Source organism: Homo sapiens, chromosome 17 (assembly GCF_000001405.40).
Source record: "Homo sapiens chromosome 17, GRCh38.p14 Primary Assembly".
NCBI classification, from domain to species: Eukaryota; Metazoa; Chordata; class Mammalia; order Primates; family Hominidae; genus Homo; species Homo sapiens.
Window position 1 is genome coordinate 18,087,831 of NC_000017.11, and position 12,886 is coordinate 18,100,716.

A 12,886-nucleotide genomic window follows, 5' to 3' on the forward strand; every position below is an offset into this window, starting at 1 on the left:
TGGCCGGCCCAGCGGGCGGAACCGATAGTGTCTGGCACTTGGCTCGCCCGGACTCTGAATCCTGGAGCACCAGGCGCCCACGAGAACGCTGTTCTCTTTGGCTTCCGGGCGCACGCTACTCTGTCGCCGCCGTCAGACCGGAATTGCCGGTGCCGCCGCCACCGCTGTCTGTGCGCCCACCTCTGCTGCTACCATGGGGATCTTAGAGAAGATCTCGGAGATCGAGAAGGAGATCGCTCGGACACAGAAGAACAAGGGTGAGGGCCGGCCGGGCGGGGCCTTCCTTTCTGCCTGCCTCAGTTTTCCTGTCTGTAAAATGGGGGAACAACTCCAGCAGTAATGCTGGGGCAAGATCCGAGGCCGCGGAGAAGTTGCCAGACAAGTGCCGAGGCCGCCCTGCGCGCCCAAGGCAGGGCCAGGCGGGAGCGGGTCTCACGCCCAGGTCTGACTGCAAACGTACCCCAAGAGATCTGGTCAGTCCCAGACCGTGTGCCCGAGTAGAGTAGTCCCAGCTCACAGAGCAAGCATCTGACCCAGAGAGAGGCGGAGCTGGGGTTCAAACCTCAGTCTCCTGATGGCTGGGCCTGGGGCCTGGGTCTACTCTGTTGTTTTGGGAAGTGCAAGAGGAGACCTCTCAGGAACAGCCTCACCCAGCAGCTGAGAGCCCATTGGAGCAAGGGAATCAGGACTCTGGAGTCTGGAAGGCCTGGGTTTGAGCCCCAGGTCCACCACGTACCTTCTGTAAAACATTGGAAAGTCACTTCATTTCTTGGAGTCTCAGTGTCCTCATCTGTAAATGGGGTAATACTCCCCTGCTCCATCTTAGTACACAGCTGAGTTAAATTAGATGGCCTTTACAAAGCACTGGGCACATGGTGAGCACTCAGTATTTAAAGTAAACACCCCAACATAGATAATACATAATGAAGCCTCAAATCTGGACTTTAGAATGTAAGGGCTGGAGGAGCTCACAGAAGAGAGGTGAGGAGAGAACGATGACACCAGGACAAAGTGGGACTTGAGCTGGTTGTTGGAAGGGTATCCCAGGTGGGGGCCACTGCTGAGACAAAGACATGGGAGTGAGCATGGTATGTTCATGGGACAGTGAGAACAATCTAGATCAGAAGGGGGTTATGGAAGAGTAATGGGAGATGCAATTGGCCAGGCTAGTGGCTAGCCATTCAGGCTTGTGGGAGCAGGAAGCAAGCAACACTAGATAGCTGGTCCCAGTGTCTGCCCTCCCTTGGTTCCATTTAGGTTTGAAGGCCAAGGAGTTGAGGGCCCTCTATGACTCATTCCTTCTGTAAATCTTTTTTGTTTGTTTGTTTGAGACAGTCTTGTTCTGTCACCCAGGCTAGAGTGCAGTGGTGCCATCTGGGCTCACTGCAACCTCTGCCTCCCAGGTTCAAGCGATTCTCCTGCCTCAGCCTCCAAATAGCTGGGATTACAGGCACGTGCCACCACACCCGGCTAATTTTTGTATTTTTTTAGTAGAGAGGGGGTTTTGCCATGTCGTCCAGGCTGGTCTCAAACTCCTGACCTCAGGTGATCCACCCGCCTCGGCCTCCCAAAGTGCTGGGATTACAGGCATGAGCCACCGTGCCTGGCCGATCTTTCCTGAGCCTTTACTATGTGCTAGGCACTGTGGTTAAAGCAGTGAACACAGCAGGCATATCCCAGCCCTTGGATCTGATCTTCTAGTTGACGGTCTGAAAACTAGAAATCAAATAAATAAGATAATGTCAGCCAGCAATATGTGCTATGAAGACAAACCAGGGTGATACAGCAGAATATTGGGGGTGGGGAGGGACTGGGGATTGGGTCTGCTTAGGTGGAGTGATAGAGAAGACCACCATGAGGATGGGGCATTTGAACTAAGACCTGATTGAAAAGAAGGAACCGGTCACGCAAACATCTGGGGGAAGAGGGTTCCTGGCAGAAAGAGCAGCTAGTGCAAAGGCCCTGAGGCAGGAACAAACTTGGCTGTTTACAGGTCAACAGGACTGGGGCTGGGGTGCAGTGATGGGACAGGAGGGGGTTGATCATGCAGAGCCATAGGTCATGGGAAAGACTCTGGGTTGTGTTCTAAGGCAGTGGGAGCTGGTGCAGGGTGTTAAGCAGGGGAGGGGCTATTCTGACTTCTGTCTTGAAAGTTCCCTCTGGCTGCTGTAATATTCCATATTACCCATAAGACCCAAGGAAAGTCACAGGGAGGCTAGAGATGCTGCCACTTTGGCAGTAGTAGACAAAGGAGATATAAAGGTGATTAAGACCTAGTCCCTCCCTTCAGAGATGCTCAGAATTTTAGGAGCTGGGATGACAGGAAGGGCCATGTGTACCTGACTGACACTGAATCCTTTTTTTTTTTTTTTTTTTTTTTTGAGACAGTCTTGCTCTGTTGCCCAGGCTGGAGTGCTGGAGTGCAGTGGTGTGATCATAGCTCACTGTAACTTCAAACTCCTGCATTCGAGCAATCCTTCCACCTCCACCTCTTGAGTAGCTGGGACTACAGGTGTGCACCACCACACCGGGCTAATTTATATATATATATATATATATATATATATATATATATATTTTTTTTTTTTTTTTTTTTTTTTTTTGAGATGGAGTTTCACTCTTGTTGCCCAGGCTGGAGTGCAATGGTGCAATCTCGGCTCACCGCAACCTCCGCCTCCCAGGTTCAAGGGATTCTCCTGCCTCAGTCTCCCAGGTGTGTGCCACAACGCCCAGCTAATTTTGTGTCTTTAGTAGAGACAAGGTTTCTCCATGTTGGTCAGGCTGGTTTCGGACTCCGGACCTCAGTTGATCCGCCCACCTCGGCTTCCCAAAGTGCTGGGATTACAGGCGTGAGCCACCCCACCCGGCCAATTTTTATGTTTTTTGTAGAGGCACGGTCTCACTATGTTGCCCAGGGTAGTCTTGAACTCCCAGCCTCAAGCAGTCCTCCCTTCTCAGCTTCCCCAAAGTGTTGGGATTACAGGTGTGAGCCACCCCACCCGGCCAATTTTTATGTTTTTTGTAGAGGCACGGTCTCACTATGTTGCCCAGGGTAGTCTTGAACTCCCAGCCTCAAGCAGTCCTCCCTTCTCAGCTTCCCCAAAGTGCTGGGATTACAGGCATGAGCCACCATGCCCAGCTGCAGAACCCATTCTTGACCATTTCTTACTGCTATCAATTCACTGATTCACTTGGTAAAATATTTCCTGTGTGCCTGGGCCCTGTGCTGGAGGCTGGGGATCCAGTCCCATTTCCTGACCTATCGGAGTCAGGGAAGTAAAGAAATAAGATCATTTTCAGAGTCGAGAAGACAGTAAACCTGCTCATGAGGCAGGAAGCAGTCTGGGGAAGGGCGGAATTTACTGTAGATTATAGCCAACTTTTATTGGGTGCTTACTGTATGCTAAGCGATGTTCTTAGTGCTTTCTGTAAGACTTCTCCATTATTCCACCATCAAAAATCTGCTGAAGTATGGTCAGGCACAGTGGCTCACGCCTGTAATCCCAGCACTTTGGGAGGCCGAGGTGGGTGGATCACTTGAGGTCAGGAGTTTGAGACCAACCTGGGCGACACGGTGAAACCCCGTCTCTACTAAAAATACAAAAATTAGCCAGGCATGGTGGCACCAGCCTGTAGTCCCAGCTACTCGGGAGGCGGAGGCAGGAGAATCTCTTGAACCCAGGAGGTGGAGGTTGTAGTGAGCTGAGATCGCACCACTGCACTCCAACCGGGGTGACACCAGTGAGACTTTGTTGGTGGCTCACACCTGTAATTCCAGCATTTTGGGAGGCCAAGGCGGGCGGATCACCTGACGTCGAGAGTTCGAGACCAGACTGACCAACATGGAGAAACCCCATCTCCATTAAAAATACAAAAAATTAGCTGGGCATGGTGGCGTGTGCCTGTAGTCCCAGCTACTTGGGAGGCTGAGGTAGGAGAATCTCTTGAACCCTGGTGGCAGAGGTTGCAATGAGCTGAGATCACACCACAGCACTCCAGCCTGGGCGATACAGTGAGACTCCATCTCAAAAAGAAAAAAAAAGAAATCTGCCTAAGAAGTTACTACTGTTAATAACCCTATTTGCAGATTAAGAAACTGATGCACAAGAAGACTAACTTTTCCAAAGTAAAATGGCCCCACTAATGGCAGGGTGGAGTTCTGACACAAGCTCTCACTGCCCTCTGAGACTGGGCAGGGGAGGCCTCTTTGAAGAAGTGACATTTGAGCTGCACCTCAAATGATGGTAAGGAGCCAGTTCCAGGAAGATCTCGTTGAAATGGAGAGAATCGCCAGTGTGAAGGTCCCAAGGAAGGAATGATGTCAGCATATTCTAGAAAAGGAAAAAAAGAAAGGCCAGGCCCAGTGGCTCAACCTGTAATCCCAGCACTTTGAGAGGCTGAGGCAGGAGGATTGCTTACAGCCAGGAGTTCAAGACCAGCCTGGGTAACATAGCAACATCTCATCTCTACAAAAACAATTTTTTTAATTAGGCAGTCCTGGTGGTATATGCCTGTAGTCCTAGTTATTCAGGAGGCTGAGGCAGGAGTTCAAGACTAGTGAGCTATAATCGTGCCACTGAACTCTAGTCTGAGTGACAGAATGAGACCCCCATCTCTTTAAAAAAAGAGGAGAAAGCAACTGTGTCTGGAATGTAGCAGAGTGTGTTGAAGTAGCCAGGAGCCAGGTAACATAGGGTCCTGGTTCTCAGTCTCAACGACGGCCTCCTTTTAGAGCAAAGAGTTTGTAACACCATTTACAGTCCTGAAATGAAATTCCCCATCAGTAATATAACTTGAATTTGAAAAAAACCAATATAATACCCTAATAGTAATATAAAGGAGAAGAAGAAAAAGGAAAGTAATTTATAATGAAAATGGTATTTATTTAAATACATAAATGCTGGAGTGCTGCCAGGATCTAACGAAGTTACCCTGAAGCAGTAGAATGCTCATGCCTCTAGGTAGAATCACTGGGGATGTGACAGCCACGATGCAGGTGTGTTGTATTGGCCACTGAGTTACACCCCAAGAGGGGCTGCCATGGCAGCGTGGGATCCCAGAATGGTGAGCAGCTCTAGGTAAAGTTTCAGACAAAGCATGACATAGTCTTCCCTTCATATACATAATAGTTGCATTCCTGGGAATTTCAGTGTATATTAACACTGTACAAAATGTCCTGTGTTTATATGTAAACAGAGCTAGGTTCTAGGCCTGGCGATCCTAACCCAGGTTTTCCCTCTGTGGATGCCTTTGGGATGTGACAAGTCATGGACTTGGGATAATTCTCCTCAGCTACATAGGACTGACTCACCTAATAGGGCAGCTGGTTTCCCTGCCCCCTGCCCAATAGATGCCAATGCGTACTTCACCATCAAAGTGAACAGAAAACATCTCCCAGAATTTCCAGAATGCCCCCCAGGAAGCGGTGCCCCCTCTGTTGAGAACCATTGGTGAGAACCATTTGGTGAAGTCTCAACAAAGAGGCGGGATTTTTTTTTTTTTTTTTGAGATGGAGTTTCACTGTTGTTGCCCAAGCTGGAGTGCAATGACGTGATCTCGGCTCACCACAACCTCTGCCTCCTGGGTCAAGTGATTCTTCTGCCTCAGCCTCCCAAATAGTTGGGATTACAGGCATGAACGACCATGCCCAGCTAATTTTGTATTTTTAGTAGAGACAGGGTTTCTCCATGTTGGTCAGGCTGGTCTCGAACTCCTGACCTCAGGTGATCCACCCGCCTCGGCCTCCCAAAGTGCTGGGATTACAGGCGTCAGCCACTGCGCCCGGTCTAAGAGACTGGATTTTATCTTAAATGAAGTGAGAAGCCAAGGGGGCCTTTTAAGCAGAGAGATTTTTTTTTTTTCTCCTGATCTCCTTGACAGCAGTTGCTTCCCAGCCAGCACTTGGCGACATGTGGGCCCTGCCTGACCCCTGGGCTTGGACACCCTGGCCACTCATCTTCTGTCTTGCTTTCCATCCTTTAGCCACTGAGTATCATCTGGGCCTGCTGAAAGCTAAGCTCGCCAAGTATCGGGCCCAGCTCCTGGAACCGTCCAAATCGGCCTCGTCCAAAGGAGAGGGCTTTGATGTCATGAAGTCGGGTGATGCCCGTGTGGCGCTGATTGGATTTCCCTCTGTGGGTAAGGTCAGTGATGGTCAGTGTGGGCCTCGGGGAGGAAAGCAAGAAGTCATCTTTCAAACAGGTGACCATCCAGGCTCCCCTCGCTGCCTTTCTGCTTAGCTCCAGGGACACAGAAGACCTGGCCTCCCCCAGGGTCAGATCCCAGCCCTTTATCATCCTAACATGGAGGACGCTCTTTCCTCTTGCCAGCAGATGGAGCCCTACTTGGTCTTCCGACTCAGTCATCACACACAAATACTTCTCGAGTGTGTATCTCTAGCGGTGTCATGTGCTGGGCACTGTGCCAGGGACTAGAGACATAGCATGAATGAGACAGAGCTCTGTCCCTGCCCACATAGATCTCCCATTCTTGAAGAGAAAGGACAGTAAATAAGTAATAAGGTGCATCCAGTGGTGAGGAGTGGGGGCTGGTGAGTGACAGGGTGAAGGTCTGCTAGTTACGACAGGTCCCGGCAGGTTTCTCTGGTGAGTGAGTATTTGGGCAGGGGCCTGAAGGAAGTGAGTGAGCTTGCAGAGTCCTGGGTGAGAACCTTCCAGACAGAGGGAACAGTGAGCACAGGCCCTTAGGCAGGTGCTCGCTTGGTGTGTCCAGGGAGGCCCAGGTGGCTCTCTGAGGAGCACAAGGAGGGCAGAAGACAGAGAGGATAGCGGCATATGGGCGGCCGAAAGGACCCTGGCTTGGATTGAAGAATGAAACTGCAGAGTTTTTAGAAGGTTTCTTCGGCCGGGCGCGGTGGCTCACACCTGTAAACCCAGCACTTTGGGAGGCCAAGGTGGGTGGATCACCTGAGGTTGGGAGTTCAAGACCAGCCTGACCAACATGGAGAAACCCTGTCTCTACTAAAAATACAAAATTAGCCAGGGGTGGTGGCGCATGCCTGTAATCTCAGTTACTCGGGAGGCTGAGGCAGGAGAATCGCTTGAACCTGGGAAGCAGAGGTTGCGGTGAGCCGAGATTGCACCATTGCACTCTAGCCTGGGCAACAAGAGCAAAACTCCATCTCAAAAAAAAAAAAAAAAAAAAAAAAAAAAAGAAGGTTTCTTCTGGAAGTTGCTCTGTTTAGCGTATAATCTATATTGGTTTACTTTTTTTTTTGAGATGGAGTCTTGCTCGGCTCACTGCAACCTCTGTCTCCTGGGTTCAAGCAGTTATCAATCAGCCTCCCGAGTAGCTGGGATTACAGGCATCCGCCACCACCCCTGGCTAATTTTTGCATTTTTAGTAGAGGTGGGGTTTCACCACGTTCGCCAGGCTGGTCTCGAACTTCTGACCTCAGGTGATCCGCCCACCTTGGCCTCCCAAAGTGCTGGGATTACAGGTATGAGCCACCGTTCCCGGCGTGATTTACTTTTATGTGAGGAATAAAATAAACATCATTGCAGGGTTTTGAGCAGAAAAGAGATGTCTGATCGGCTCTTTTTTTTTTTTTTTTTTTTTTTGGAGGTATAGTTTCACTCTTGTTGCCCAAGCTGGAGTACAATGGCACGATCTCAGCTCACTACAACCTCCGCCTCCCAGGTTCAAGCAATTCTCCTGCCTCAGTCTCCCAAGTAGCTGGGATTACAGGCATGCACCACCCCGCCCGGCTAATTTTTTGTATCCTTTTTTAGTAGAGACAGGGTTTCACCATGTTGGCAAGGCTGGTTTTGAACTCCTGACCTCAGGTGATCCACCCGCCCTTGGCCTCCCAAAGTGCTGGGATTACAGGCGTGAGCCACCGCGCCCGGCCTAAAGTAAACTTTTTATTTTAGAATAGTCTTAGATTTACAGAAAAATTGCAAAGGTAATACAGAGTTCCCATATACCCCACACCCATTTTCCCTGGCAGTTAACATTTTACACCAATGAATATTGATCTGTTCTTGCCTCAAGTCTGGCTTTATGCAGATTTCCTTAGCTCCTCCCCACTGTCCTTTTTCTGTCCTGAGATCCCACATCACAGTTCAGTTGTTATGTCTCCTTAGGCTCTTCTAGACAGTTCCTTAGACTTGCCTTGATTTGATAACCTTGACGGTTTTAAGGAGTACCATTCCCATATTTTGTAGAAAGTCCTTCAGTTGGGGTGTGTCCAATGTTTTTCTCGTGGTTAATCTGGGGTTATAGTTAGCAAGGAAGGCCACAGAGGTAAAGTGCCATTTTTATCACATCGCATGAAGGCCACATACTGTCAACATGACTTACCCCTGCTGATGTTGATCTTGACCACCTGGCTGAGGTGTGTCAGGTTTCTCCACCGTGGAGACGCTCTCTTCTCCCCTTGCCATGCCGCTTTGGGGAGGGAGGTGACTGTGTGCAGTCCAATTCCATCGCCTCCTTGAGGGGAGCATCTACAGAAACTGTTTGGAATTCTTCTGCATGGGAGATTTGTCTCTCTTCTCCCATTCATTTGTTTTATTCAATCATTTATTGATATCCGTATGGATTCGTGGGGGGTTATTTTGTGCTTTGGGGTCTAAACCCATACCATGTTCTTTTGCTGCTCAAATCTTTTTAGCTTTGGAGCTATTTTAGTTGGCTTCTTTGATGTACTTCCACCATTGTGTTTTTCCAGCACTTCCTCACTTTCTGACACTGCAAGATGCCTCAGGCTCATTTTGTATATTCCCTGCCCTGGCCTAGAATCTGCCATTTCTCTAAGGAGCCCTGGTTCCTTTGATTGGAGAATAGCATTAGAAACTACCATCTGGGCGCTGACTTACTTTTTTACAGAATCACTCTGGCTGTTGTGTAGATAGCAGGTTATAGCAGGGCAAAGTGAAGTGGGACAGTGGAGAGGTTGCTAGAATATAGGCCAAGTGAGCAACAACCAAAGCTCTGGACAGGTGCTGGGGAGCAGCTTCTAACTCAGTTCAGCTGAACAATTTGAGCCCACACCCAGTTTCCATTGCTCTGGGCCAGGCACAGGGGATGGTGGTTAACAGCTACCTTTTCTTGAGTGCTTGCTGCAGGCTGGGCAGTGTTTAGTTTTATTTGTTGTACTGTCTGCCTATATGATTGGTATATGTATCAGAGAGAGAGAGATTGATAGAGAAGCCGCTCTAGTTACCAAGAGCCGTGACCCTTGAAGTCTGGGCCCATGGCAGATCCCACCTGCCTTATTGGGAGTATAGGCTCTCCCACCGTGGGAGGGCCCAGGTCTTACAGGGGCCAGACAGAATCAGGGAGTGGCCCCGAGGTTGGTTGCTGGCTGTCTCAACAGCCATTGCTCTTGGGGCCACCGTGTCTATCCCTATACCTGTCCACTCCACCAGGTTTTTCTCATTTCTTGAGTTTCCAGGAGATCCCCAAGGCTGAGGGTTTCTGGATTTGGGAACTCGATGTATTTCCATCACATGCCACATTCTGGACTTGAGAGGTCTAAGGGTGCCTTGGGGAGGGTGCCCCCAGTCTTCCTGCCAGTCAGCCAGGAGGCAGGGTCTGGATAGCTGGCCCTGCAACTCAGAGTCTCAGGCTTCTCGTTCCTGGGGCCCTGCTGATTAGGATGGGGCAGGAGGCATGGGGCTGGGTTTCTTCCCTCCCTGGGTCTGCCCACTGCTTGGCTGGCCTCAGCCACAGCATCTATCACTGATGTTACAGTGTTTGGAGTGAGGCACATCCCGGGCCTTATCTTTTTAATCCCTGTGCAGTCCTGTGAGGTAGGGACCGGGTTCATGCCCATTCTACATGTAAAGACCCTGAACTGAGAGTATGGAGTTTCCTGCCCAATCCCAGGACACCCCGGCAGAGGCAGGATTCAAAGCCAGGTTTCTCCAACTCCCAGCCACAGTGAACGGTGGTCTGAGTGGTCACATCCACATCTTCCCAGTTCCCCACTCCCTCCCTGCGACACCTCTCCTGTCAGCTGTCTCTGCCTCAGCCCAGGAGGTTGACATCTCCTTGCACACCTCCTTACACCCTCCCTGGGTGCACAGCATGTCTGGGTACTGGTTCCACGAGTGCCGTGGGACTGCCACCTGCTTAAAGTTCTCTGGGGCCAAGAGGGCCTGGAGGATTGTGTGGGGTTAGGAGAGGCTCCTGATGTATATGGGGAACCCCATCAGAATCCAGATCCCTGCCTCTACCTGAGACAGTCCTGAGGCCTCCAAGGAACAGATGGGCCTCTGGTGTCTGACCCATCCAGGACAGGGCCAGAGGTGAGCCCTCTGGCTGGGAGGTCTCTTCACAGCCACCTAGGTCACCAAGCCGAGGGTGAGAGGGTCTCCTCCTGCTGCCTGCACCTGCAGGCCCCCAGCCCCTGGGGCCTCTCCCAGAAGGCCAGGGACAAGGCTCCTCAGTGCAATGATCTCCTTTTCTCCTAGTCCACATTCTTGAGTCTGATGACCTCCACGGCCAGCGAGGCAGCGTCCTATGAGTTCACCACTCTGACGTGTATTCCTGGGGTCATTGAAGTAAGTGGGTGTGCTGGGCCCAGAAGGAGAAGGGGCGCATGCTTGTGTTTGGACTTGTGCCTGTGCCCACCCTGTGTGTGAGTCTGGGTGGATGTCCCCATGTCAGGACAGGCTCTGGACTGAGCTGCTTTGCCCTCCAGCACTGACACTTCTGGGGATCCTAGCTGCTGGACCCCAGAGATGCCTGGTGGGGCCTGGAACTAGGAGGTCAGGCCAGCATGTGGCTACTTTGCCTGGCGCCCCCTGTGCTCTCCTCCCCAACACCACCACAGCTCTGGTCACTAATTGCTGCTTGGCTGGATCCTTCTGCCTCCCCATGAAGCTTCACTGCCTTGGGCTGTGTTTGCTTTGGGCAGCTGAGTGGTATGGCCTTAAGTTCCCATGGTGAAACAATTTATTTGTAAAGTGCTGGTATCATCAGTGATGAGTGTTGTGGGATTGGAAGATCTTGAGCCCTCCCTAGGCGGCTACTCAGCTCATAGGCTGTGGTCTGCACTGGGCTGGGGTGGTGACAAGGCTCAGACTTGGCCACAGGTTGGCATCTGGGTTTCCCTCAGCCCCTGAGCCCCGGGGCCATTCCAGATGTCCCAGATCCAGACAGGACCTTTCCAGTGGAGGCCCAGCCTTGCCTTACCTTTCTTCTCTTCTGCATCCTAGTACAAAGGTGCCAACATCCAGCTCCTGGACCTTCCTGGAATCATTGAAGGCGCAGCCCAAGGTGGGAGGCAGGGCAGGTGTGTGGGAAGCAGACTGGAGCTCTGTTACTGATCGTTGAAATTGGGTGTGGCTGTCATGGAGATCACTCTGGATCCCTGGTCCATTATCCCGCTTTCCAGAAAAGACAGGTTCCAGTTCAAATCCTTGGCACCAAACTAGCCTTGTGATCTTGGGCAAGTGATTGGGTATCTCTAAGCCAAGCCTCAGTTTCCTCAGCTGTAGAATGGGCATAATAATACATAATTTACAGCATAGTTTTGAGGATTAAGTGAGGAAATGTTCAGGAAGCATTTAGCCTGGGCCCTGCCACATGGTAGGGGTGGGCGTAGGACAGCCGTTATTATCCTGTTACTCCTTTTATGATGGTGGTGTCGGATTTTCTTCTGAAATAAGTCTCCGTCAGTAAAACATGTGGATTAAAGAAAAATGCCAAGCTTGTGCTAGTATGTGGCAGAGGCTGTGGTAGGTCTGTAAAGGACAGGAGTCCAGGGCGCCGTGGGCTGGGTAGCAGTCACATGGGTCCACATATGTAACTGCATCCCTCACACCCATCCAGGAAAAGGCCGTGGCCGGCAGGTGATCGCTGTGGCGCGCACGGCTGACGTCATCATCATGATGCTGGATGCCACCAAGGGAGAGGTGCAGAGGTCCGCAGGGTGGGGCATGGGGCAGGCTCACATGTCTGGGGAGGGCCAATGTGTCCCTGAGCTCGTACTAGGCGGCCTGTGGGTGTTTGGCTCTCTCACACGTGAGAGTAGTGGTAGGACTTGTCACAGACTAAACCCAACACCACCCAGCCTATGGCGTCTTCTCCTCAAGGCTTGTGTCCAGCCAGCACAGAGGTATCTTGGGACTGGGGGCCGAGGGGCTTGGCCTGGCCCTGCTTCCTGTTCAGAGGCACAGGTGCCTCATCACTGCCCAGAACCTGCCAGGAGCCCAGCCCCAGGCACAGAAGCATTGTTCATCCACATCCTGGCAGAGGGGTACACCAGGCCTGCCTCCTCGGGACCAGAAGGAGTACCCTCATGTGGTCACCTCGCGGGGGCTCCACCACTTGCCTGTGCATGCCGACCGTAAACCGGGCCAGTCCCCTCTGGGACTGTGGCAGAGTTTAGAAGTTCCCTGCAGCTCTAGGGCATTGGGAAGGAGTGTTCTCTGGGTTGCTGGGGAAGGGGGTGGAGGAGAGAGTCAGTCTCTGGGTGGGCAGTGACATCCTGCGTAACAGGGAAGCTGTGCATCTGGCTCTGTGGACAGCCTGTGAGGGGCTTAAGGGGTACTCTTCCTAGGTCTCTGCTGGAGAAGGAGCTGGAGTCTGTGGGCATCCGCCTCAACAAGCACAAGCCTAACATCTACTTCAAGGTGAGGCACCTCTCTGGCCTTCAGGCCAGGGGTGTGGCAGTTTTGAGACTGCATTGGCTGGCGGCTGAGGCTGTGGGACCATTGCTGTGACCCCTCGGTCAGCAGTTCTCCCCATCCCTTTCTCCTCTTTCAGCCCAAGAAAGGTGGTGGCATCTCCTTTAACTCGACAGTCACGCTGACCCAGTGCTCGGAAAAGCTGGTGCAGCTCATCCTGCACGAATACAGTATCCTTCCCTGAAAGACACGTGAAGGAGGGCAGCCACCACCGTCAGCGCAGCGGG

General features: G+C 51.5%; 1 protein-coding gene across 5 annotated transcripts in view, besides 5 other annotated features; it reads left to right on the forward strand.

The window, feature by feature from the left end:
- Positions 1-502: an enhancer, noted in NCBI's record as "H3K27ac hESC enhancer chr17:17991145-17991646 (GRCh37/hg19 assembly coordinates)". NCBI's record gives its function as "activates a minimal SCP1, AML or CMV promoter by ChIP-STARR-seq in naive H9 embryonic stem cells {active_cell/tissue: H9 hESC(naive)}" and the evidence as "EXISTENCE:reporter gene assay evidence [ECO:0000049][PMID:30033119]".
- The window catches only part of DRG2 (developmentally regulated GTP binding protein 2), a 20,022-nt gene continuing 7,253 nt past the window's right edge, over positions 118-12,886 (forward strand). For 4 of the 5 annotated variants that reach the window (XM_005256499.4, XM_011523704.3, NM_001388.5 and 1 more), the window contains exons 1-7: positions 118-257; positions 5,983-6,143; positions 10,440-10,529; positions 11,187-11,247; positions 11,803-11,893; positions 12,533-12,605; positions 12,739-12,829. In XM_005256499.4, coding sequence (XP_005256556.1) covers positions 194-257; positions 5,983-6,143; positions 10,440-10,529; positions 11,187-11,247; positions 11,803-11,893; positions 12,533-12,605; positions 12,739-12,829 — 631 coding nt within the window. In that variant the 5' untranslated portion in view covers positions 118-193. Of the gene's footprint in view, positions 258-5,982; positions 6,144-10,439; positions 10,530-11,186; positions 11,248-11,802; positions 11,894-12,532; positions 12,606-12,738; positions 12,830-12,886 lie in introns of those variants that run through there. The other variant, XM_005256500.3, reaches the window with a different exon arrangement.
- Positions 126-445: an enhancer, noted in NCBI's record as "active region_11825". NCBI's record gives its function as "activates an Ori minimal core promoter by ATAC-STARR-seq in GM12878 lymphoblastoid cells {active_cell/tissue: GM12878}" and the evidence as "EXISTENCE:reporter gene assay evidence [ECO:0000049][PMID:35858748]".
- Positions 496-545: an enhancer, noted in NCBI's record as "active region_11826". NCBI's record gives its function as "activates an Ori minimal core promoter by ATAC-STARR-seq in GM12878 lymphoblastoid cells {active_cell/tissue: GM12878}" and the evidence as "EXISTENCE:reporter gene assay evidence [ECO:0000049][PMID:35858748]".
- Positions 496-1,002: a biological region, named in NCBI's record as "H3K27ac hESC enhancer GRCh37_chr17:17991647-17992146".
- Positions 503-1,002: an enhancer, noted in NCBI's record as "H3K27ac hESC enhancer chr17:17991647-17992146 (GRCh37/hg19 assembly coordinates)". NCBI's record gives its function as "activates a minimal SCP1, AML or CMV promoter by ChIP-STARR-seq in naive H9 embryonic stem cells {active_cell/tissue: H9 hESC(naive)}" and the evidence as "EXISTENCE:reporter gene assay evidence [ECO:0000049][PMID:30033119]".